Here is a 25,606-nt window from a genome sequence, read left to right as displayed (position 1 = left end):
TGTTTGTTTTTTTCTTGTAAATTTGTTTGAGTTCATTGTTGATTCTGGATATTAGCCCTTTGTCAGATGAGTAGGTTGCGAAAATTTTCTCCCATGTTGTAGGTTGCCTGTTCACTCTGATGGTAGTTTCTTTTGCTGTGCAGAAGCTCTTTAGTTTAATTAGATCCCATTTGTCAATTTTGGCTTTTGTTGCCATTGCTTTTGGTGTTTTGGACATGAAGTCCTTGCCCACGCCTATGTCCTGAATGGTAATGCCTAGGTTTTCTTCTAGGGTTTTTATGGTTTTAGGTCTAACGTTTAAATCTTTAATCCATCTTGAATTGATTTTTGTATAAAGTGTAAGGAAGGGATCCAGTTTCAGCTTTCTACATATGGCTAGCCAGTTTTCCCAGCACCATTTATTAAATAGGGAATCCTTTCCCCATTGCTTGTTTTTCTCAGGTTTGTCAAAGATCAGATAGTTGTAGGTAAGCGGCGTTATTTCTGAGGGCTCTGTTCTGTTCTCCCAGCATATAAACAGAGCCAAAGACAAAAACCACATGATTATCTCAATAGATGCAGAAAAAGCCTTTGACAAAATTCAACAACCCTTCATGCTAAAAACTCTCAATAAATTAGGTATTGATGGGACGTATTTCAAAATAATAAGAGCTATCTATGACAAACCCACAGCCAATATCATACTGAATGGGCAAAAACTGGAAGCATTCCCTTTGAAAACTTGCACAAGACAGGGATGCCCTCTCTCACCGCTCCTATTCAACATAGTGTTGGAAGTTCTGGCCAGGGCAATCAGGCAGGAGAAGGAAATAAAGGGTATTCAATTAGGAAAAGAGGAAGTCAAATTGTCCCTGTTTGCAGACGACATGATTGTTTATCTAGAAAACCCCATCGTCTCAGCCCAAAATCTCCTTAAGCTGATAAGCAACTTCAGCAAAGTCTCAGGATACAAAATCAATGTACAAAAATCACAAGCATTCCTATACACCAAGAGCAGACAAACAGAGAGCCAAATCATGAGTGAACTCCCATTCACAATTGCTTCAAAGAGAATAAAATACCTAGGAATCCAACTTACAAGGGATGTGAAGGACCTCTTCAAGGAGAACTACAAACCACTGCTCAAGGAAATAAAAGAGGATACAAACAAATGGAAGAACATTCCATGCTCATGGGTTGGAAGAATCAATATCGTGAAAATGGCCATACTGCCTAAGGTAATTTACAGATTCAATGCCATCCCCGTCAAGCTACCAATGACTTTCTTCACAGAATTGGAAAAAACTACTTTAAAGTTCATATGGAACCAAAAAAGAGCCTGCATCGCCAAGTCAATCCTAAGCCAAAAGAACAAAGCTGGAGGCATCACACTATCTGACTTCAAACTACACTACAAGGCTACAGTAACCAAAACAGCATGGTACTGGTACCAAAACAGAGATATAGATCAATGGAACAGAACAGAGCCCTCAGAAATAACGCCGCTTACCTACAACTATCTGATCTTTGACAAACCTGAGAAAAACAAGCATAGAGATCTACAGGTTTCTGAGGTTCTGTTCATTTTTCTTCATAATTTTTTTTTCTTTCTGTTTCTCAGTCTGGAAAATCTCAAATGAACAATGTTCAAGATTGCTGATTATATCTTCCACCTGATCAAATCTGCTGTTGAGCTCCTCTTAAAATTTTCCTTTTAGTTATCTTTTTAACTCTAGCATTCCTATTTGATTCTTTTTTTTTTTTATCATTTCTATCTCTTTACTGATATTCTGTGTTAGATAAACACCATTTTCATCCTTTCCTTTAGTTATTTAGATATGGTTTTCTTTAACCCTTTGAACTAAATTTAAAGACTTTTTCTAATAAGTTTTATGTCTGGGCTTCCTCTGGAACAGTTTCTATTAATCGATTTTGTCCTGTGTATGAGACATATTTTCTTGTTTCCTTACATGTCTTGTAATTTTCTGTTAAAACTGGACATTAAAAATGCAATGTGGCAACTTTAAAAAATCAGATTCTTTCTCTACTCCTCAGGTTATGTTGTTTTTACAGTTTGTTGGTGTTTTTGTTTTTTAGTAACTTTTCTGATGTAATTGTGTTATAAGTCTGTATTCTTTGTCTTGTGTAGCCACTGACGTCTCTGCTTTGTTAGTTTAATGGTCATCTAATGATTGGAGAGAAATTTCTTTAAGGATCAGGAACTAGTAAGTCTCTGTCAATGAAAAAGAGTTATACTATGTAAAATATTTGAAGAGATTTATTCTGAGCCAAATATGAGTGGCCAATGGCCCATGACACAGCATTTAGGAGATCCTGAGAACATGGGCCCAAAGTGGTTGGGTAACAACTTGGTGTGACATATTTTAGGGAGACATAAGGCATCAATCAATACATGGAAGATGTATATTGGTTCAGTCCAGGAAGGTGGGACAAGTGGAAGTGGGGGTTTCCATATCATAGGCGGATTCAAAGGTTTTCTGATTGGTAATTGGTTGAAAGAGTTACTATCAATAGAAAGGAATATCTGGGTTATGATAAGAGGTTGTGGAAACCAAGATTTTGTCATGCAAATGAAGCCTCCAGGTAGCAGGCTTCAGACAGACTAGATTGTAAATGTTTCTTATCAGATTTAGAGTCTGTTCTGTTAGTAACTCCAGAAAGGAGGAGGGTATTACCAGGTTTGTCCAGCTCTGCCTTCCCATCATGGCCTGAACTTCTTTTTCAGGTAAACTTTGGAATGCCCTTGACAGAGAGGAGGGTTCCATTCAGATGGTTGGGGTAGGACGACCTTAGATTTTTCTTTTTGGTTTACATCTCCAAGTTTTTGCTGAGGTGCTCTACATGCATGTTGGGGAATGTCTTCCACACTCATCCAAGCAGTTGACAATTCCACCTTAAACTTAGATTTTGACAATATCTTCTTGTCCAGAACTTTAAGGGAGCCATTGACGAGGGTTTAGGACCTTCTAAGATCTTTTCCAAGCCTGCACACAGCTCTGTGCATGTGCAAAGCCTATCTTACTCCTGCTCATGGCCTTCCAGATTTCCCAGAATATGTCAGAGCTTTTCAAAGCCCCTATGAACATCCATTCTCCAGTTTTCACTTTAAGCTTTTTAATTAGCCTATTGTTTGTTGCAACTATTATCCACTATCTCAAGCATCTGTGAAGTTAAACAATTGCCTCTAAATGTTTTTAACAAATGCCCCTGAAGAAATGGCTTTTCACACTGGGCAAACTCCAAGTCAGATTAAATAAAGACAGCCTTGCAAGTGGGGTCTTTCAGAGAACCACTAGACGGGTTTTCTCTGTGACTGGGGGCTGCTGGTTTTCGAGGCTGCCATGAAGCTGGAGAAAGGGTGATGCGAATGGGGCAAGTTAAAATGTCACAAACCTCACTATTCTAGGTGAAATTCAGTTGTTTTGCTTGAGCAAACAATCCTTGGATGGCTGCAACACTTTGGTAAATTTCCAGAGTTCTAAAAAGTTGATTCTGATTATTTTTGTCACTTTTCTCATTATTTTTATAGAGGAGAGAATTTTGCTGAGATCACCGGATTGCATTATCTTTTCCAATATTGTCTAAATAAAATTAATATGTTAAATTATAAAGGCACATAACAAACCATCTTACTAAAACGATTGGTCCATGTAAACAAATTCCTTTGGATTTAAGTAGTCAGTCGAGTGACTCATACACCTTTTCTGACCACCGTTGTCTGACTGCTTTGGCAGACTCCAAAGCCTGGGCTGTGGTGGACCTGTATCCCCACTCCCTTCTCTGCGTGCTCAGCACTGGGTGGTTTTACTCAGCAGTTAGCATGAAACCCTCTCAGGTAGTAAAGTCTTTTGAAGATATAATGTGGGAGCGTTCACCAGACATCAAGAAAATTGCATGAACAGGTCCTCTCATTAGAGGGACACGCTCCCAACTGTTAGCAGAGTTGGAATTTTCCACCTACTGTGGCTGCAACATTGATCCTGTAGAAGTATGGGAATGAAGAATAATGATGCTCACTCTTGGGGAAATGGGTACCCAGGAGGACTTCAAGGTCCACCTTCTAACTCCTTATTCACATTTCATAATCCTTTCACTACTTTGATGCACATGTGCTGTACCAATCTACAAAGCATTACTTGAGGGCAACTCTGCCGTGGAACTCATGCTCCCCTGTTAAAGGTCCCTTCCCAGCCTTTGCCATGGGTCCCTTCTTTGATAAAATGCAGGCTACCAAAAGACTTGCATGGATTAATTATTAATTAATTTTGTTTCACATCAATTGTAATGAATTCGTATGGACTATTTCACCTATACACATTTTTATTGAACTAAATCAAACCTAATGAGGTTTCCGACCAAAGTAAAGAGGCCTCTCCTCAGCTCTAAAGAAAGAAACATGGCAGCAGGATGTACTGCATTCTTAGGGTTAGACTCAGATTTTCTACTGGCATTTTGTAATGTAGTATTTCAAACATATATAAAAATGAATCTACCGTCTACTTCTGTCACTTGATGCCAATCTTCTATATCACCCTTGTGTCCACGTCACACACACTTCTCACCCCATTCCTGCTTTACCTTGAAGCCAATTTCAGTTCTTAGATAATTTTATTTGTAAGACATTCAGCATGTACCTCCAGAAGATAAGGGTCGTTCTTCCGTGACAGTTTTATTGAAGTATAATGGCCACATAATAAATTGTACATAATGGAAGTGTGTATTTGAGAAGTTTTTTATGTTTATGTCTCTGAAACTATCATAACAATTAAATAATGAACATGTCCATCACACCCAAGAGTTTCCTTGTGCTATTTTGTAGCCCAAAATACATGCTGAATATTTTAAAACTAAAATGTGACTTTAACCCTTCCCCTGCTGCTGTCCGACTCCTTCCCCCAATAGGCAAATACTGATCTGCTTGCTGTTACTATAGATTAGTACACTTCCTAGAATTTTATGTAACTAAAATCATATAGTATGTGCTCTTTCTTTGTCCATGTTCTTTTATTCAGCATCATTCTATTGGATTCAATAATGCTGTTATAGGTATCAATTGTTCCTTTTTTAAATTATTGGTTAGCATTCCATTATATGACTACGTCACAATTGGTTTATCCATTCACCTGCTGGGGTACAACTGGGTGATTTTCGGTTTTTGGCAATTACAAATAAAGCTATTATGAACACTTGTTTAAAAGCCTTTGTGTGAATATATGCTTTCATTTTTTGTGGGGTGTAAATAACCAAGTGTGGAATGACTGAGTCATATGGTAGATATATTTTTAACTTTTAAAAAAACAACAAAATGCTCTTCAGCATGGTCAAACCATTTTCCATTCCCACTAGCTGTGAATGGAGTTCCTGTTGGTTCCACATCCTTGCAAACACTTGATATGGTCAGACTTTTCAATTTCATCCATTCTAGTGGGTGTTATTATCTCACTGTGGTTGTAGTTTTCATTTCTCTAATGACTAAAGGTGTTGGGCCTCTTCTTGTTTACTTATTTGCCAGTCCTACAAACGACTTGGTGAGATGTCTTTTTCAGATCTTTTGTCAACTAAAAAAAAAGTATGTTGCTTTTCTTCTTAACTTCTTTATACATTCTGGATACAAAACCTTTATTATATATATGTTTTGCAAATATTTTACCTCAGTCTGGGGCTTTCCTTTTCATTTTCCTAAATGTCTTTTGAAGAACAAAAGTTTATGTTTTATTTTTATGAGGTTCAGTCAATACCTTATTTCTAATTTGTGTTTTATCTATTGAATTTAACAGATCACTGCCAAAACCAAGATCACCAAGGTTTTCTCTATTTTCTCCTGTTTTCTTTTAGGAGTTTTATAGTTTTAGCTATTACATTTATGTCTATGATCTATTCTGAGTTAATTTTTTATATGGTATGAAGTAATGACGGAGGTGGAGGTTTTCACTTTTTTCTTTCTTTTCTTTCTTTTTTGCATATAGTTACTCAATTTTTCCAGCATCATTTGATGAAGATTATACTTTCTATGCTAAATTTCTTTGGTGCCTTTGTCAAAAATAAATTGACCATGTAAATATGAGTCTATTTCTGGATTCTCAATTCTTTTCTACCCATCTGTGTACCCATCTTGACACCAATCCTACTGATTACAGTTGCTTTACGATAAGCTACAGTAATCACAAAGTAAATTGTAAAGCTTTATAATCAGCTTTATAATAAGAATACAGGACTTGAGAGGTTTCTAGTGTGATCTGAGAGACCAAAATAGACACCCCTTTACCAACTAAGACAGATCTTAAGGTTAGGGAAAAAGTTACCTATAAGCCCAGGGTTTAGGGCTTGGCTGGCGTGGCAACTCCCTAAATTCCTATGGTTACAAGAAAAACCACACCCTTGTTAAACTCCCAACAGTAGAGCTAATCAGGCAAATTGTCAGACGCCTCCTAACTCTGGTTGGACAGAGGACTGGTCTTACAAGGATTCTTTCCAGATGAGCAGCTGTAGCCCTCAAGTCCCTTTGGAGAGCTTGTGCACAAACTGCCTTTGTGTCTGATAGCTCACCTTTTGATGTAAAGAGCCAAATTCCACCTCATTTTAATGCTAAAATCCTGCCCCTAAGTGAACATGGGATGTGTTACATGTATGTTTATCCATTGCCCATGTAGTTGGCTCCCCTCATAAATATATATAGCTTTCCCCCCAAACCTACTGAATATGCATGACTCTATTATATAATACCGACCCTGTAAGGCACAAAATCCAAGCTGCCCTTGCCCTCTTTGAAGAGGGAGCATCTTTGCTCCACACTGGAGGCTATCTTTTCCCAGTTTGCAAACATATCACCAATAAGACTCTCCTTTCTACTATTTAGCCCTCCTGGTGATCTTCTGGACAACCCCGGCTTGCCCCAAAGTTCCTGTCCCCACATCCTGGAGGGCCTCGTGCCTCTCTGGGAAGTGGGACTGGGATGCAAGAGCCCTTTGAGGTCTTCCCCTGCCTTGACATAAATGAAAAGACAGTAGGGGAGCCTGGCTCAGAAGAAAGAGTTGCAGAGTGTGGTCTGGATCACCCAGCAGGACCAGTTATGCTGCCTGCCTGCCAGGAAGTGTTGAAAAGTGACAAATGAGAGGTACCAAGGAGGTGGGTGTCTTTGATTCTACACAAAGATGACTAGGAGGACAGGAAATAGCAGCTTATGCACACTGGGTCACCTATAGGTTCAGTCAAGATTGTGGTCTTAAAATATAGAAGACCTGAATGGCCTCCTTTCTATTTGTCTCCTTACTGAAAAAATAATCCCATACCATGTTTTTGGGTATTGGAGAAGGGAACACATTTGAATTATACTGAGGATAAAACCTCTAAGAATTCTCACAGGGCTCAGAGGAGAGGCCATGACTGGCTTGTGGGGCAGGTAAGCAGTAGGGAAAGGAAGGGGGGTGAGTGTAAAGGCACAGTGGTGACCTTCAGCAAGGCCTCATAGGAAAGAGAGGAGGTGGGGAATGTAGGTAATTCTTGTTAGGGGCAACAAATGAGTATTAGTGAGAATGAATAGATGGTGGGGGAGGGGGGACAGAAACTAACCTGTTAATTATTCTCTTTTGAATTTTAATGAGCCTGAGAAACAGACATTATCTTGTGAAAAGGTCCATCCAGGTACGAGATTTCAGGGAACAGATGGAAAGCAATTGCTGTCCTTGGTGGGTCCAATCTTTATACAGATAACCAAAAGCCTTTTCCAGCATCTGCTTGTCTCCAAGGGCCTTTAATTCAAAATATTCATCATGCCAGGGTGCCATATCTTGGGATAAAATTATTATTATTATTATTATCTTAATGTACAAAAGTGGAGAGTTCAGATTCCCTTTCTTTGAGCAAAATTTGCAGAAGTAATGACCTAAGGACATTCACCAAACTCACATTTCCAGCACAGGCTGGTTTCCAGCCAATGTTTCCCAGCTTTTGGGTACGCGCTTGCATTCCAGGAGCTGCTTTTGCAAGTTTGGCTCCATGGTCCAACGCATTTAGGAACTGCTGCCGACTGTGTCCCCTTTTGAAGATTTGTGAAAAAATCAACATATCAAAGGCCCTGAACCCATGAAAAATGCTCAAAACAACTAGTCATTAGGGAAACAAAAATCAAAATCACAATCACAATTAGGTACTACTTCATACCTACTTCATACCCACTGGGATGGCTATAATAAAAAAGGACAGACAATAATAAGTGTTGGTGAGAATGTAGGGAAACTGGAACTCGTGTACACTGCTGGTGGGAATGCAAAATAGTGCACCTGCTTTGGAAAAGAGTCTGGGAGTTCCTCTAAAAGCTCAATGTAGAATTACCATATGACCCAGCAATTCCACTCCTCTGTATAGACCCAAGAGAACTGAAAACATATGGTCAAATACAACTTGCTCATGAATGTTTATAATGACGTTATTTATGATAGCCAAAAAGTGGAAACAACCCAAATGTCCATCAGTGCATACATGCAACAATGTGGATGAACCTTGAAAACATTAAGTTAAATGAAAGAAGCTGGTCGCAAAAGATCACACAGTAAATGAGTCCATCTGTATGAAATGTCCAGAATAGGCAAATCTATAGAGGCAGAAGGTAAATTAGTGGTTGTCAGGGGCTAGGAAGGAAGTGGATGGGAAATGGCTGCAAACAGCATGAGGTGTTTTGGGTGGTGATGGAAACATTCTGCAGTGACATTGTGGTGATGGATACACAACTCTATACTAAAAGCCAATGAGTTGTTTACTTAAAGTGGGTGAACTTTATGCTATACAAATTATATCTCAATACAGATTTCTTTAAGTCTTCAGGAAGCCCTCTGGTAAAGAAATCAGCCTAACCCAGCCCTGCACTCATCTGACCACCAAAGCTTTTCCTCACATTGGCACTCTGAGAAACTGGTATTCTGAAGAATATGTTTTAGGAAAAACTGCTTTAGACAACAGGAATTTGGCAAGAGGAACTTTGTTTCTGTGAACACATATTTGGCATGTCAGGGTGCATCCTTTTGTATTTTATTTATATTTGATGTGTCTATGTCCTGTCTTCTTGGTGGCTTTATAAACATTTTGGGGAGGGAAAGTATGATTTATTCTCTTTGAGTTCCTACTTCTCACCCATACGATCCATAATGTAGTGCACACATAAATATCTCTAAATATGCAGTTGGGACTTTGCATCACTAATGAGTTAAACTATTCAACAAAGCCAAAAATATGTATTATGGGCCCTTAAGTGCCAGGCACAGTTTTGGGCATGGGGATACAAGAATGAGGGAGCTTATGATCCAATCTGAGACCAGGCCAGGGGCCATACAGTAGAGGCATTTCTCCCTGGAGGGTTAAGTTCTGAAGTCATTCCCAAGGCACATTTTTCATGTAGTTGAAATTATTGAACACCTTAATGGAGGCACCATATTTGAGACTCACCCCCTTGCTGTTGAAAAGCAGACACAACCAATTTCTTCTTCACTGTTGGAAAAGATTGCTTTCCCTTTGGTTGGGCACCAGTTGAACACTTGTACTTAACAGCTATTTTGGCCAAAACCGTGTCTCCTCAAAGGTGAGTCCAGGTCAGGCATGGCGGCTCATGCCTGTAATCCCAGCACTTTGGGAGGCCGAGGTGGGTGGATCACGAGGTCAGGAGTTCGAGACCAGCCTGACCAACATGGTGAAACCCCGTCTCTACTAAAAATACAAAAATTAGCTGGGCGTGGTGATGCACGCCTGTAATCTCAGCTACTCAGGGGGCTGAGCCAGGAGAATTGCTTGAACCCGGGAGGTGGAGGTTGCAGTGAGCCAAGATCGCACCACTGCACTCCAGCCTGGGTGACAGAGTGAGACTCCATCTCAAATAAAAATAAAAATAAAAATAAAAATAAAAATAAATAAAAAGGTGAGTCCCACTGGGGCAAATCTAGGTGCTCCTGGCCTCAGCAGTATGCAAGAAGGACAAGCACAGATAAGAGTGAGGGATGCACTCCTCTACCCTCCACTCAGCATCCACCCTGGGTTGTAGCTAGGATGGCACACAGACTGACTGGCACAGTCTAAATAACTTTTTCTTTATTTTAAAAAATTTGCTGCCTGCTTACACACTTATATGAGCTTGTTCTGTGACTCCACAATCCTGAAGGTCAGCCTAAAGTCCAAACACTGGGCACTGAAGGAAGAAAATGACCCTGGAGACGAAAAGGACAGCTGGCTCACAGGAAAGCTGCTCATGGCAGGCAAAACTGGAGGACAGAGAAACGCACTGACCTTGGATGATACAGTTTGGATGTTCATTCACCCCAAATCTCATATTGAAATGGGATCTCCAGTGGGTCCTGGAGGTGGGCCCTAGTGGGAGGTGTTTGGGTCATGGAGGAGGATCCCTCATGAGGGGCCTGGTGCCGTCCCCACGGTACGGAGTCTTGCTCTACTTATTTCTGCAAGATTGGATTTTTTTAATCTGGCACCTCCATCCTTCTCTCTGTTGCTCTCTCTCTCACATGTAACATGCCTGCTCCCCTTTGACCATGACTGGTCATGAGTGAAATCTTCCTGAGTCCTTACCAGAAGCAGATGCCGGTGGCCATGCTTCTTCTTCTTCTTCTTTTTTTTTTTTTTTTTTTTTTTTATGGAGTCTCGCTCTGTTGCCCAGGCTGGAGTGCAGTGGCACGATCCTGGCTCACTGCAAGCTCCACCTTCTGGGTTCAAGCAATTCTCTGCCTCAGCCTCCCGAGTAGCTGGGATTACAGGTGCCTGCCGCCAAGCCCAGCTAATTTTTTGTATTTTTAGTAGAGATGGCGTTTCGTCATCTTGGCCAGGTTGGTCTTGAACTACTGGCCTCGTTATCCACCCACCTTAGCTTCCCAAAGTGCTGGGATTACAAGCATGAGCCACTGTGCCCAGCACCATGCTTCTTCTATAGCCTACAGAACTATGAGCCAAATAAACCTCTTTTCTTTAAGAATTACACAGACTCAAATTAGCCTGGCGTAGTGGCGGGCACCTGTAGTCCCAGCTACTCAGGAGGCTGAGGCAGGAGAATGGTGTGAACCCGGGAGTTGGCGCTTGCAGTGAGCCAAGATGGCACCACTGCACTCCAGCCTGGGTGACAGAGCGAGACTCCGTCTAAAAAAAAAAAAAAAAAAAAAAAAAAAAAAAAAAAAAAGAATTACCCAGATTCAGGTATTCCCAGCAACACAAACAGACTAACACATGGGGTCTCCCAAGATAACACACTGCAAATGTGGGAAAGGAGCCTGGAAAGAACCATGGGAAAGAAGTTGATGTGATCAGAACACCCCCACCGAGGGCAGGCGCTTAGCAGATCCCCTGTCTCTGAGTTAGCAGCAGCAGGAAGCCTCCCCTGGGAGACGCTGGCTGCAGGATGAGGCTGCCAGCCTCCACCAGGGACATCTGGAAGCCACTCTTGCTGGCTTCTGTGGAGGCAGAGGGCAGCCTTTCCAGCAGGCCACAGGCTCTCTGGAGGCTCTTGGGGCCCATCCTACCCTCAGGGAACCTGGGGAGGAAGTGTCAGCTGACTGCTCCTGGGTCACTCACGGAAGCCCCTTTTCCTGCCCCAAAATGAATCTGAAGAGAAGAAATCCTAGCGTCTGCCAAGTGCTATCACCCAGCCTTGCAGCATGAACATATCCAAGGGGCCTGATGAGCAGCACCTGGTCTCCCACTGGCTCAGACACTTGAAGCTACTGAATTTACATGTAATTAAAGACTGAGTGCAGACCGCATTTCAAAACAGACACTTGGTTAGAGATAGGAGGCCTTCCCCATCAGATGGTTTTGTTTTGCTTTTCCTCTGCATATGGGCCTTACAATTTGCCAAGGAAAGGTTACAGGGGCCACTGTTGTTTAGTTTGAAGATGAGAAAGCTCAAGAATGACCTAACTACTGTCTTCAAATATGCAGAGGCATTTATTACAAGGAGGGAACGGCTGGCTGTTTTTTTCTTAAACTGCAAGAAAAGGCAGCTCAGCTAAAATCCTAAAGACCTGCACACATGGCCTCCACACTCAGCCCTTCCCCACAGCACCTTGCACATAGGAAGCACACTTCTTGCCGTAAAACCCAGGACTGCCTGCCTTTGATAAGGAAGCTTAGACCTTGACTATGATTGAGGAAGGAGGCCACGGTATCTATTTTAGAGAAGTCTAGTAGGTTCTGCCTGGTGGCTGGCAGTCAGGTCACTGAGTTTATGGCAGAGGGGTACAGGATCCTCAGTGACGGAGGCCTTATTCATGGCAGGGCCCTTAGTGTGGCTGACAGGTGGGTCATCAAAGCTCTGGCGCAGACGTGACTGAGCTGAACTCCTCTGAATAATAGAGTTGAGAACATGGAAGCCTACAGCTATGAGGAAGTCCAGGAGGAGACGGGAGAAGCTGGGGAGGCTGGTGCTACTGCTGGAAGACAGGCCAAAGAGGAAGAATGAAAAAAAATTCCAGCAGGCCATTGAGAAAGAACTTTGAACAACAAATGTTTAATAGGGATTGCAGCAGTGTGATGCAGTCCCCAACTTTGATTTCCTGCTCCACACGAGATCCTAGTGAACTGTCTCTAGTTATTACTCCTTAGCTCCATGTAGTTCCAGATCCTTTCCTGTGAGTGGATTTGGCTTGGACAGAAGAGGGAAGACTTATGTGGAGGTGGGCGCTTGGCTGCCGCCACCATTGTGGCCATCTGGAAAGGGTTAATCTTCGAGAGGAGAGCCCAGTGACTGTCGTGCATTGCCTGGGACAGCCCAGACACCTAATTCTGATCAGACAGAAGTCCCTGATCAGATGAAAAGAAAAAGCAAAGATTCTGTCTGTCCTGACCGCCCTGCAGGTTAAGCTGCCCTGCAGCCAGCAGAGTGCCTGGCATACGGGAGGCACCCTGTGCAGCAGCCAGGGCTACTCGCCCAACTGGGAGGAGGCGGATGGTGGGTAAAAGTGAGCACTGGGCCTTCCTGATGTGAGGCGAGGATGTGGATCTGGGAGGAAAGACAAATGAAGAAGCAGGTGGACAGCCCCAGCTGGGCTCCAGGTGGGGCCTGGGGTAAAGTGACCCTTCTGCATTGCTTTCCTGCTCTGGGTACCCGTAACTGCTAACAGACCAGGGCTGAGTCCCCAGGCAGCCTTCTTGTCTGGGGTTCAGTCTGTGCCACCCTCTCCAACTCACCTACTCTCTGTTTTCCATCTGCACTGAGACCTTGTGAACCACCGTGAAAAATGCTTCTCACTTCCAGTCCCAAGAGAGGTGGAGAGCCGCAGTAGAACGTTGCAGAAGGAGAGGCGGCTTCTAGCTGGGGATGTGGGGGCTGGCCCTTGAGCAGGACTTTGCAGGATGGGGTGGACATCCATTGCTATATATTCTCCTGGTGCTGTGCTATAGGACCCCCTACTGTTTCAGGAATAAAGCCCAGCCCCTGCCAGGTGCTTGCAGTCCAGGGGGCACCCAGGTGAGTGGCAGTCAGGGCCAACACTGTGTGGTGGCAGGGCTGGGCTGGGAGCCTCACATACATTTTCCTCATGATCTTCCCCTGTGACCTTGGTGATTTCCTGAGATTTTTGTCAGTCCTTCCCGTTCTGCAAGTTGATCAGTTTGGCCCTTTGGTTTTCAGATTTTTATGGAAAGAACTTCTCTCATCCCTGCTTCATATCCTTTCAGTTCTGTCCAAAGGCAAATCTCTGACGCATTCCCACTCCGGCCATCTGACGAGTGCTGGGTCACGAGGGCAGGCTGCAGCCTCCCTTGCAGTTCCTTGCCTTAGACGCCCGTGCCAGCCCATTCAACCATCACAAATGCTCAGACAGAGCAGAAGGTTCCCAACAGGCTGCGCCTGCGCTGGACCACCCCCTTTCCTCCTTCCTTCAGCTGCCCCTCTTTCTGGATGGGTAAAAGCACTTCCATGTTTTCAGAGGCGTGGAGGGAGCCCGAGAAGAGCAGATGTTGACACCACCATCACTGCCTGCAGCAGTGAGACCAGGGGCACAGTTTTTGTTGAAAGGGTCGACCAGGAAGCACTTCCTTGACTCTGTCCTAAAGCCTCTGGAGAGCCCTTAAATTTGTGGTCCTTGAAGCTATTGTAAAGGTAAGATTTTTTTTTCTCCTCAAGTCCTACCCATCCTGACTTTTCAAGTTTGTGGTGTCTCTGATAATCTCTGCTCCTGTTCTTTGAGACCATCCCCCTCACTCTCCACTCTCCAACGTGACACCTGTAAAGTCTCTTCCAGGGATCTGGGGCTGCATTCCAGGGTCTCTTTGCTCTGCGCTCTCTGAGGCCTCAGACTGTTGTAATAAATCAAATGGCAGCGATCTTCTGCAACATCATCCTTCTTCCTTCTGCTTTCCTATGAGGGCTGAAATTCAATGTGTTTGTAGAGGACTCCGTGTGAGGGTCTCAAGGGAATTTCCAATTTGGCGCAAGGGAAGGAAGGGAGAGAGAGACTAAAAATTGCTTGATGGCCACCATGTGCCGGGTGCTCCCAATATAGTCTCAAACTCATGACATCTCCCAGCCAATGGATTCACCCCCTTTACCAGTTCCACCTGGAGCTCCCTCTCCCAGACAAGCAAAGGCCGTGTTGGGGGACTCTGAAGTCAGCTGCCTGCCATTCCATCTCAGGTGTTACCGTGGGAAAGTTGTTTAACCTCTCCGAGCCTCAGTTCCTTCACATGTAAAATGGACCTACAAGTTTCTCACGTAGGGTTGCCCTGGGGCCAGGATTTCCAGATAAAATATAGGATGCCTGGTATAAAAGTTGTATGGGACATACTTATACTAAAATATTATTTGTTGCTTATCTGAGATTCAAATCTAACTGGATATCCTAAATTATTATTTATTATTGTTTTTGCTAAATCTGACAATCTACCTGAAGTTTAAGTGACACGTGAATGCCAAGGCTTGGCACAGGGCCTAGGGCCTAACGCATAGGAGGGTCTCAGTGAGTGACAGCCATTGTTGTTTCTGGGAGTTTCTGGGAAAGTTATCGAGAAGACTTCAAGGGGAGATGGAGAAGTTTATGGTTTGGTTGGAAATATTGCTGATCCCTTGCAATGTGCAGGTATTATTCAGGAACAAGATGGGCAAAACATGAATAGGACAAGCTTTCTGCTCTCCAGGGACTCCCTTGAAGATGTGTCACAACCCCAAGCCAGTATGGTAAGTGTTATAAATGCAGTACATACCTGTACCAAATGCTACACAGGACAGAGAAGTCACTCACCTGCCAGGGCACTGGAGGCCAGAACTGCCAAGGAAGTGGGCAGGCCTCTCAGGCAAGCCTTTTGAATGTGGGGCTTGGTGGGGGTGGGCAAGAGGAGAGTTTGAGGTTCTCCAGGTGGTAAGATGTGCATGGTCGGCTCAGGGCTCACGGCCAGAACGAAGGCGGAGGGGAAGGTGTGAGGTGAGGCGTGTTGGTTGTCAGTGGGGCTGGGCCCATTTTTCATAGACAGTGGGAACTCAGTGTTCTAATTATTTTTTCTTTTTTCCAGTTTTTAAATATATAAAAATGTCACTAGAATGCTTTTTTCTCTGGACCTCTTTGCTTTAAATTGGACTCTTCTGGGAAGTCCAGTAGTTCAATCAAGTCCTAGGTGATGGTTTCTCTGTGTTTTCCATGCCAGCAGCCCTGATGGAGAGTGCAGAGGCTCCGAGAATCCACTCTTGCATAAAACGTTGTCCTCTCCCGCCCCACACTTGACTTGCCGTCTGGCAGCTCTTTCTCATCTGGGCCATGTCCCAGTGGAGGGATGGGGCAGAAGAGGCCAGACAGCAGGCTGTGCCCTTGCTCCCTGCTAGCAGACACGGCCTTGGCCTATTCTGAGCTCAGCAGTTCTGTTTCTCCTGGTTGCTGGACGCGGGCCATGGCATTTGCTGTGCACTCTGTTATCTGGAACTCTCGGCTCCCTTGGCTCACCCGTCTCCCGCCCTGTGGCATTCTGCATGGCCTGCATTTGACAGGCCCACCCCCTCATTGCCTGGGGAACCTGCCCACGTGGCATTTAATACTCATAATACTCTTGGTGTGGGGAATGGAGGACAGGGGAGGGTACATAGTGACACAGAACAGACATTATGAGGGAAACTTTGATATATAAGTAAGTGGACAAGGGAGTGTGCAAATACGATCATACACATGTGAGCCATATTTATGTAATCCCATATACACATACATAAGCATGCATGCACACTCACAAGGTGGATGGATTACTGTGATTACCACTCAGGAACCATTTTGGAAAAACCTCTCAAATCATGTTTTTCCTCTGCTCTCACACTGCAACAGCAATCAACAACAGAAGAAGGCTTCTGTGACCAAATGTGTGGGGATTTTCCCCACACACCAAGCAGTGGACACCAGCTGGGTGTCCTCCAATTCCCTTCCATCACTGCCTACCAGGAGATAGCATCAGATCCCACAACTTAAGAGCTCAGTCCCACAAGACTGCCTCCCACTTTCCACCAGTCTCAAGTCCAGGTCTTTGGAACTTCTGACTGACCCACTTCAAGCTGGGGTTCCCAAGACCCCCTCTTTGGATTCCATTTGCTAGAGTAGCTCACAGAACTTGGGTAAACACTTAACAATTATAGGTTTGTTAGAAAGATATTTTAAAGGATACAAATAAACAGCCAGATGAAGAGATACACAGGGCAAGGTCTGGAAGAGTCTGGTCCTCGTGGAGCTGGGGCAGCCACCCACTCGGCACATGGATGACTACTCCACCTTCCAGTCTGTCTCCACGTGCTCAGCTCTCTGAACACTGTCCTCTTGGGTTTTCTCTCCCTTCCTTCCTGCCTTCCTTCCTTCCTTCCTCTTTCCTTCTTCTTTCCTTTTCCCTTCCTTTCGTTTCCTTTTCTTTTTTCTTTTCCTTTCTCTTTCTTTTTCTTTTCTTTCCTTCTTTCTTTCCTTCCTCCTTTCTTTTCCTGTCCTTTCTTTCCTTTTATTTTCCTTTCCTTTTCTTTCTCTTTCTCTTTCTCTCTTTCTTTCTTTATTTCTCTCTCTCTCTCTTGCTCTGTCACTCAGGCTGGAGTGCAGTGGCACAATCTCAGCTCACTGCAACCCCCACCTCCCAGGTTCAAGCGATCCTCCTGAGCAGCTGGGACCACAGGCACAAGCCATCATGCCCAGCTAATTTTTGTATTTCTTTTGGTGGAGATGGGGTTTTGCCATGTTGCCCAGGTTGGTCTTGAACTCCTGGGCTAAAGTGATCCACCCACCTTGGCCTCCCAAAGTGCCGGGATTACTGGTGTGAGCCAACATACCTGGCCCGTCTTGGGTTTTTATGGAGCCTTCATTACATGGCATGACTGACAACCATGTAGAAATGTGATTGGGCAAAAAGAACACAATCTAAACCCAGCAAGACCTGCCCGTTCAGACTTTTCCTAGCCTCTCTGTGCAGCATTTCTTCCTTTAGGGGCTGGGGCAGGACCTGCTCTGAAATGAAGGTCTTTTGACCCACAATCGGATTAGAGTCCCGCCTTGGGCAGGAGAAAGGAGAACAGGAAAAACTCAGAGAGAGGGACGTTGTCTCCTGAGGCCTAACGCTCCCAACATTATAACAAGGACTATGAGAGTGATGAGCCAGGAACCATGAATGAAAACCTATGCATATGTATCATAACACCACAGGCACATAAGCAGAGAGAAAAATGCCTAGAAAGATATTGAAAATATATCCAATAAGGTATAAATGTAAATAGCAGTGGTTAGATTATGAGTGACTTTAATTTTCCCTTCCAATTTAGCTGTATTTTCTAGTTTTTCTGAAATGAATATGTATCATACAATAAAAAGTAATACAAAAAGAAAAAACAAGTTATTTTCTACAGTATCTCATAGAAATCAGAGCACTGCTTTTGTGAGCATAATTTTGTCAGTGAACCCAAGGGGGTGGCATGAGAGTGTGAAGTGGGGTCTGCAGCGGGCGGCATGGCCACTTGCTGGCTGGTCTCCACCAGCCCTTCATCTCTCTTGGCAGCTGGTCTGGAGTCTAAACTAGGCCCTGCATTGAACTCTGTGGCCCTCAGTCTCCTCCATGTAAAATGAGAGGATTCAGCTAACATCCCAGGGATGGCAAATCAGAGATGGTATGTGAGCTGAAACTTCTCACTGATTCCTTGGGAAAGATCCAGGTTCCTCATGAAAGACGGCCGTAATTGATTATGATATCTGCTATGGCAACCCAGGGCAAGGGGTGCCACCAACCCTCCCAGCTCAGCAGGCAGCAGCAGCCCCGCCCTCCTGGGCTCCCCTGACCTTCCTTCAGTGCCTCAATTATAGCTGTCATTGTGTTTAGCAATTATACAGTGGGAGTTCTGTTGTGTTTATTTTTAAATTGCCAATACCAGACATAGGAATAAATGAATGATGAATGGATTACTCAGAAAACAATTACTAAATGTGAACGCAATTGCTAAACAAAGGTGTGCAGTTTTCCAAGGTACTGGAGGTCTTTGTTTAGACACATCAATTCTGCTTTATTACTTTACCATCTAAAGCATGCCAGGTTGTAAATGACAGTGTAAATCTCCATGACAATGTCAATGTCAATGTCAATGTCAATCTCCATGACAGTGCTGTCATGGAGACAGCACTGGCTGCCAGTCTGCCATCCATCTTTACCATGTTTGGACTCTCCTTTTATGGTGTAGTGGGTAGAGCACCATGAAGTGTGTGGATCCAGGCTGCGCCCCCTTTTGGCTGGGTTATCTTCAGCACATCACTTTAACTTCCTTGGGCCTCAGGCTTTCTTGTTTATCAAGGTCCCTTCTGGCTTCAGAAACTCCATGCCCTTGAGTTGGCTCTCAGCCTCTGCAGAACTCAGATTGGGGCTATTCTGATGGGAGGTCATTTGTACCTGAAAATTCGAGCAGACTTTGGAGACCCTCACGTCCTACTCTTCCTCCCACATCTTGCACTCATCTTTTCCGAGGAGACTTCTGCCATGCCAGATCTGGAGGTGTCCGCCTCCCTTCTCCTCCCCTCCCTTCCCTCTCACTCTCCCCAGTATCTGTCCTTTTCTCCTCTTTCCTTTTACCTATGGCCCTACTCCACCCTGCCAAGGGCCCCCATGTGCCTTCCTCTCCTCCAGTCCCAGTGGGGAGTTATTCTTGTCCTTCTACCTGTTCCAGCAGGGTCCTCCAGAATCCTATCCCCATACCACCTCATCTCCTCAGGCCCCCCAACAAAGGTGCTCTGAGCTGACTCCTTATCATGGTAGCCGGTTGTGGCACCTCTCCCTCTGCTGAGGGACAGGCACCTGGATACTGTCTGGTTGAGAAAAAACAGCCCTGTCCAGCAGCTCCAACTACTGTCTTCCAGTGTCTGATGCACGATGATGGGAACTGAGCCATGTGCAGTGGCCAAGAGCTTCTCATATTCACAGGCTGTACCCGAACCATCCACCCAGGACTGCAGAGGCCTCCTCAGAGGCTGCCACCTGGCCCCCACCCCAGCTTAGCTGGCCTCATGTTTGTTAGAGGTGTTTCCACATGACAGTGGCATTCTTTTTTTAAGATTTTCTTTTTCTTGAGATGGAGTCTTGCTCTGTTGCCCGGGCTGGAGTGCAACGGCGCAATCTCGGCTCACGCTCACTGCAACCTCTGCCTCCCAGGTTCAAGCAATTCTCCTGCCTCAGCCTCTTGAGTAGCTGGGATTATAGGCATGCTCCAACATGCCTGGCTAGTTTTGTATTTTTAGTAGAGATGGGGTTTCACCATTTTGGCCAGGCTAGTCTCGAACTCCTGATCTCAGGTGATCCACCCGTCTCGGCCTCCCAAATTTCTGGGATTACAGGTGCCCAGCATAAAATAGATTTTTCAAGACCCTCAAGGATGCTGGGGCAGGTTCAGCAGCTGGGCGACCAATATCCTTTCTAGGCTCCTCCTGAGAAGTGGCTAAGCCTCCAGCCTGCAGGGTGGTGTGAGTAAATGGGAGCTGGCAGGTGGGCACAGGGCACCCAATCCCCCTAAATCCTGAGCAGGAGGGGATCCCAGAGACAGAGGGAACACAATGAGCACCCACCTGGCCCAGGACACAGAAGCTTCTAGAAGAGCAGAAAATATGGCCTAGCACATGGCATTGTTTGGAGGCAATGAGAAAGCCCTGTCATGTGCCCACCTCCACCTACTGTCTTGGACCTTCCTGAGACATGGAGACTGGAAAGCCTTGTGGGCACGGTACGGATTTTTAAGTGGCTTGAGCGGGCAGGAGGCCCAGGGTTGTTGGGGAGGCCTCTTCCCCACTGGCGCTGGGCCCTTCATCAGCGATTCTGCTCCCCAGCAGAAAATGACCAGGGGCTCCCTCCCCACACTGGTGGCGTGTGTGGCTGTGCTGGAGACAAGTTGAAGGAGCCACGCCTTGCATCCCTGGAGCCTGACTGTGCCCAAAGGTCCTCCCAGCCTTGCTCTGAACTGGCTCACCACTCAAACCTGCATTACTCACAGGCCGTGCCATCCCCTCTGCCTGGGACAGGAAGCAGAGCCTCCCTGCCATCATCAGCTGATTGCCAAGCGCCAGACCTGAGCCTGACCCATGTGTTGCCATAACACGGGGGCTGTGGCTGTGCCCTTGTCCCAGAGGAAGAAGATGAGGCCTTGACAGGCAGGCGATGGGTCCAAGGCCACACCACTGGTGGGTTGCAGGGCAAGGCTGGAACCCAGGTCTTGCTGATTCAGATCAGAAGTTAACGCCTACACTGACCAGAGTCAAACACAGAGCTGGTATGTCTCATAGAAAAGGCACAGATTCCTTGTCATTACAAACACTCTGGTTAATGCTCAGATTTTTGATATATCCTGCATGAACCATTTCAGCTCAAGGCACCATGAGTCCAGTGTTAAAAATTATGCAGGAATAAGAGTGACAGATTCTAGACCAAAGACCTGGATTTTAGTTGACTGATTTGCCTTTAGGTGTGGGCCCTTTGGTGTTATTAATGGGGGTGTCTCACATTGGGACTAGAAGGGTGGGCTTTGGAGTCTGCCCAGACTCTTCTAGGCCTCTGTCTTCTTCTGGGAGAGAGGAAAAAGTAGCATCAGTGCTCTCATGGGGTGAGGAGGAAATGAGCAAATGTGTGTGAGATGCTCAGGCCTGCCCAGGATGGACTATGGCTGTTAATATTATTAGTAGTATTAAATGCAATGGCCTGAGGCCAATCACTTAACCTCCATAAGCTTCCATTTCCTCATCTGCAAAATAGGGAAAGAAAAATTGCTGCTGCACTTGATTGCTGTGAGGTTCAAAAGGAAAACCTCTGTATGCTGTAAATAATTACACCAGCCCTTGCAACCAATTAAAATCTTCTCCCTGCTTTAAATGGCTTGATTAGACACTCACTGTTTTCCAAGGCTGAGCATTATTGGGCATTGGCGTGTAGTTTTTAAAGGAAGTGTCTGGACAATTGTGTCTGAGAATGCAGTCTCCTCTCACTCTCAGCTCCCCGGAGTTGGTCTCCTTCTCATGGGCTACATAGTGCATTGTGACCAATGGAGAATACACACCTTTGGGAGAATTTGCGGGCAGGGCCATTTTCAGCCAGTACGATGTCTTTGTGCAAATACAGAAGGGACCTCCTTCCCTGGGACATACAGAGAACATGGGCATGCATGCAAGCTGGATTTCAGCGCCCTCCTACCCCACTGACCATCTCCCTCCTGTGAATGGCAGCCCTGTGTGCACATAATCTGCACCTAGGTTGCAAACTTCAGTGTCCTTGGGGACAGGCAGACGGTGTCAGTGGACGTGAGTGAAGTCACCTGGGTGTGAGGCAGTAGGAAGGGTGGGGACTACAGCCAACTGAAGCGCCCAGTCCAGGAGTTGTGGGAGCAGCTGTGACCAGCTCCAGGTGGCACTGCCAGGTGCAGGTCCAGGAAGGCCAGGCCTTTCCACTTATCTAGAGAAATCTAGATATCTATATAAAGTTTTCCTGCTTTTGAAAATTACTGTGCATGTCAGAAAAACACATCTTCGGGTGGAATATCATGTGTGGGTCACAGCTGCCCACCTGCTCTATGCAAAGCCCAGTCACAATCTGAATCCTGACACCAGTGAGAGGGGAGGTGCCTCCCTCTTCCCCTCCTTTCTCCTTGTCTTCTCTCCTTCCTTTCCCTCCTTGACCACCTCCTCTGACCCAACCCCAAGGCCTGTGGGCTTCCCTCTCCCTGCCTCAGTTCTCTCTGTTCATGGCCTCCCCTCGGACAACCACACCACCTATGGAAAAACTCTTTGCCCACATCCTCCCTCTTTCCACCAGATGCTCTCAACCCCCACCCAGCATTAGATCGCTCCCTCCTGACTGCCAGCTCCTTGAAGCCAAGAGACCTTGCCTGACGTGGAATCTGTTAGTTTAAGATATTTCTCTATGAGCAGATCCAAACTCCTCAGCCTGCTCTCTGTGACCCACCTCCCACTGTCTCCCAGGACCCTGGAGCACCTGCTCACTGCTCTCATTGAAGTTATTCTCTGAGCAAAGCCTGACCGTCTTGCTTCTGTGCCTTCATTTTAGTTGTGCTCATTACCTATGATTCCCTTCTTCTCTTGTCGACCAGCCCTGCAAAACTTAACATTTAATTGCCTTAATTCTTCCACTGAATGTCCATGAACAACCTGGCTTCCCTTTCCCAGAATCCTGCTGTTGAGAGAAGGATTCAGGATTGGACCCTAGGAATTTCTTACAGTGGCAGTTATTACCTCTCCAGGGACATAGCCTTTTACCAACTGGAAGTTGCTGGGTGCAGCAGACAGATTTGCATTCTTTGTAGTACTTTGTAGTACTATTTGTCCTGCATACAGCCAGTGGTCACCAAGAACTTAATTCTCACCTAGTGATTTCCATCATTTTTTCTTTCAAGTATCTAGAGGGCCCAAAGTAGCAGCTATGTTTCCTAAATTCAGGAAGCACCACTCCTCTCTGTTGTCTCTTATCCCATATCCTCCGGTGCTGTGTTTCCACGGGATCTTTCCTGGGTGTGCAGGAGGAGCCACGGACTTACCCTTGGGGGGTGAGTGTGGCCTTGTGTTTTGCTGTTGTTTTTGAGTATGCAAGTTCCTGTTCAAGAAAAGACCTTTCCAAAACAACCAGGTGTGCCAAGACCGTGCTGGACACACCAGCTAGCTGCTTGCACACCCATCAGGCCACTGCTGCAGCTACTGCCCCGGGGATACCCGGGCAACCAATACCAACTGCCCAAAAGAGGCCAGCAGGCAAGTGGATCCCCCCACCCCCAAGTATGTCCATAGCCAGGGCCATGTTTTGGGACCCCAGAGAGAATCTCTTCCCTGGTCTTACCCTTCATTTCTCCACTCTCTGTTTTCATCTTTCCATAATCAAGTGAGGGAGTGATGAGATTGGCTCCCAGTCCCTCAGGCTTCTGCACAAGACAGGCCTGTTCCCAGGTGGCTGTTCTGCAGAAAATTCACATCTTAAGATTGTAAAAGGTGTTACTGGAATAAAAGGATTCTGTGATCAAAGAAGTTTGGAAAACATTAACTTAAACAAAAGTTCATCAGGTTTCTTTACTGCAGGACTTCTCAGAGCCTTTAATGCACTGTGGTTCCCCAAGGGGGTGCCAGGTCACAGAGCATTTTTCAGCCTTTTGCAACTGTGAAATTCATTTGTTCAAGGGGCATCTGGAGTGGATGGTGACGAATGCACTCTGGGAGATGTGGTTGTGCAGGACACACAGCTGGCACTCAGACCCAGGCCTGCCCACAGCACTGGCTCCTCATGTGGCCAGGCCCTCTGCCCCTCACTGAGCCTTGCAGGCTTTGCTGTAATTGTATTCCCATATGTGTCCCGTCTGGCTTGATACAACTCTGGCCACCGACTTCCGGAATATTCCAAGGCCTAGCCCAGGCCTGTGTGTCCTGAGATTACCTCTCGTTGCTGGCAGCCATCTCTATGAATTCAGGAATGAAAATCACAAAGCCAGTGGCAGGGCTGGCAGGCCTGACAAGTCGGTAGGGACCATGCTTTGCCCTTTGTCTGCCCCATGCTCCTGGCTCGGCCAGGAGGCCTCAGGGATCTAGGAATCCAGTCTCTCTGGGTTCACACCACCAGACATTCAAAGCAGAACAAAACACAGTTTCACAATGACTTCGAGAAGTCTGACACGGGTGGACCTTAAATTGCCACCCCATGATTTTAACTATTATTTTATTTGATTCTAAGATGTCATCAATTGTATGACACACCATTGTTTTAAGAACAGCTTGTAGGGGGTGAACAAAAACGAAAGAAAAAAGAAACCCCACATGTAGTGTACCGACTAATTGTAAGACACATCCTGATTTCAGAATAATTAAAATTTGAACAATTGTGTGCCTTGGAATTGAGGAAATACACTATTTCTACAGGTCGGGGTTGGCTTCCTTTTTCATTGCTGCTGAGGAAGCTGAGATGCAGGCTCCAAGCAAGAAGTCAGGAGACTGGGGTGCTGGGCAGGTGTTTGATCTCAAAAAGAAGTCATTGAAGTAGCATGTGGTCAAGCCTGTGCCAGGTTAGGAGGTGCTGGGGTGAAGCTTGCCCTGCCTTTACCCTCTAATGTGTGGCTGTTTATCCTGTCAAGAGGTAATGTGTCTCCTACAGCTTCCCAGAAGGCAAGGTGGTGTGTGCGCCTGTGTTTTGTAGCTGTCAGAAATAGCTGGACCATTCAAGTGTATGTGAAACCAGCTCTGTAAGCTGTGAAATGGAGCATCATTCTTTTTTTTTCTGCAATGGCATAAACATCGCCACTAATTCCTAAAGATACAATGAAAACAGAAATGTATTAAGAGTATTTTGGAATGACTCTGAGCTGATGACAACCCTTCACTAGCTCACATCATAGGGGGACTCACTCACCTCTTCTTCATCCAAGGAATCCCACCTCCTGCTTCCTGGTTGGAGTTTCCTGGGTGAACCCCAGGAGGAGGGAATCTCCACCGAGGTGGTGATGTTTGAGCTGGTTCTTAGAAAACAGGGGCAATGATGGGGCAGAAGATATTCAACAGAGGAACTGGGGCTGGAGATAAATTGAGGAGCAATGAGAAGTTTGCTGCGAGGGCACGTGAGCCGGGAGGTGGGAGGTGAAGCCCGAGCAGGATTGGAGTTAGGCTGATGGTCTATACCACCTTCTCACTGAGTGATTTTTACATCTTGTTTTCAACAAATCAGCAAAGACACTTTAAATGCTGTCATGAGCTGGCTGCAAGTGTTCAAGTGGTGCCACCAATGCTCTTGGTTGTGCCCGGATCGCGTGCTCCAGAGCAGAGCTCCTGTGCAGCCTGTTACCATGCCCCATGCCCTCCACCTCAGGAGGCTGGGCTCGGTGTTCCTCCTGCTGGCACCTGCTTCCCCCGGGCACAGGCATGGCTAATTTCACTCAGGTCTGGGCCGGCTTCCTTCCCGAACCTCTTACTGTTAAACATGCTCTCCTCATTCTGTCTCCCCTATCGTGCTTGTTACCCCGTGTGACACTTGTCATTCATTTGTTTCATTTTTATAATGTGAACTCTGTGGTGGCTTTGCTCAATCCTGTCTCCGCTGTGCTCAGAATGTGGCCTGACACTTAGCAGAGGCTCTGTGTTGATTGTTGCTATAGAATGACACTGTTCTCTGAGTT

The 25,606-nt window shown here is 45.6% G+C and overlaps 2 long non-coding RNA genes across 7 annotated transcripts in view, besides 1 other annotated feature; one reads left to right on the top strand and one right to left on the bottom strand.

The window, feature by feature from the left end:
- The window catches only part of NCAL1 (NK cell activity associated lncRNA 1), a 282,375-nt gene that overhangs the window by 38,336 nt on the left and 218,433 nt on the right, over positions 1 to 25,606 (bottom strand). The window lies entirely within an intron of this gene.
- Positions 13,790 to 25,606, top strand: part of LOC101928214 (uncharacterized) — a 28,748-nt gene continuing 16,931 nt past the window's right edge. For 5 of the 6 annotated variants that reach the window (XR_007087128.1, XR_940326.3, XR_007087130.1 and 2 more), the window contains exons 1-2: positions 13,790 to 14,086; positions 15,063 to 15,160. This is a non-coding gene — a long non-coding RNA (uncharacterized LOC101928214). Of the gene's footprint in view, positions 14,087 to 15,062; positions 15,161 to 24,359; positions 25,046 to 25,606 lie in introns of those variants that run through there. The other variant, XR_007087129.1, reaches the window with a different exon arrangement.
- Positions 15,326 to 15,826: an enhancer, noted in NCBI's record as "H3K4me1 hESC enhancer chr2:87983211-87983711 (GRCh37/hg19 assembly coordinates)". NCBI's record gives its function as "activates a minimal SCP1, AML or CMV promoter by ChIP-STARR-seq in naive H9 embryonic stem cells {active_cell/tissue: H9 hESC(naive)}" and the evidence as "EXISTENCE:reporter gene assay evidence [ECO:0000049][PMID:30033119]".

Source organism: Homo sapiens, chromosome 2 (genome assembly GCF_000001405.40).
Source record: "Homo sapiens chromosome 2, GRCh38.p14 Primary Assembly".
In the NCBI taxonomy this organism is placed as follows: Eukaryota; Metazoa; Chordata; class Mammalia; order Primates; family Hominidae; genus Homo; species Homo sapiens.
Note: the sequence above shows the minus strand (reverse complement) of the source record. Positions and strands in the feature narration are given on the sequence as shown.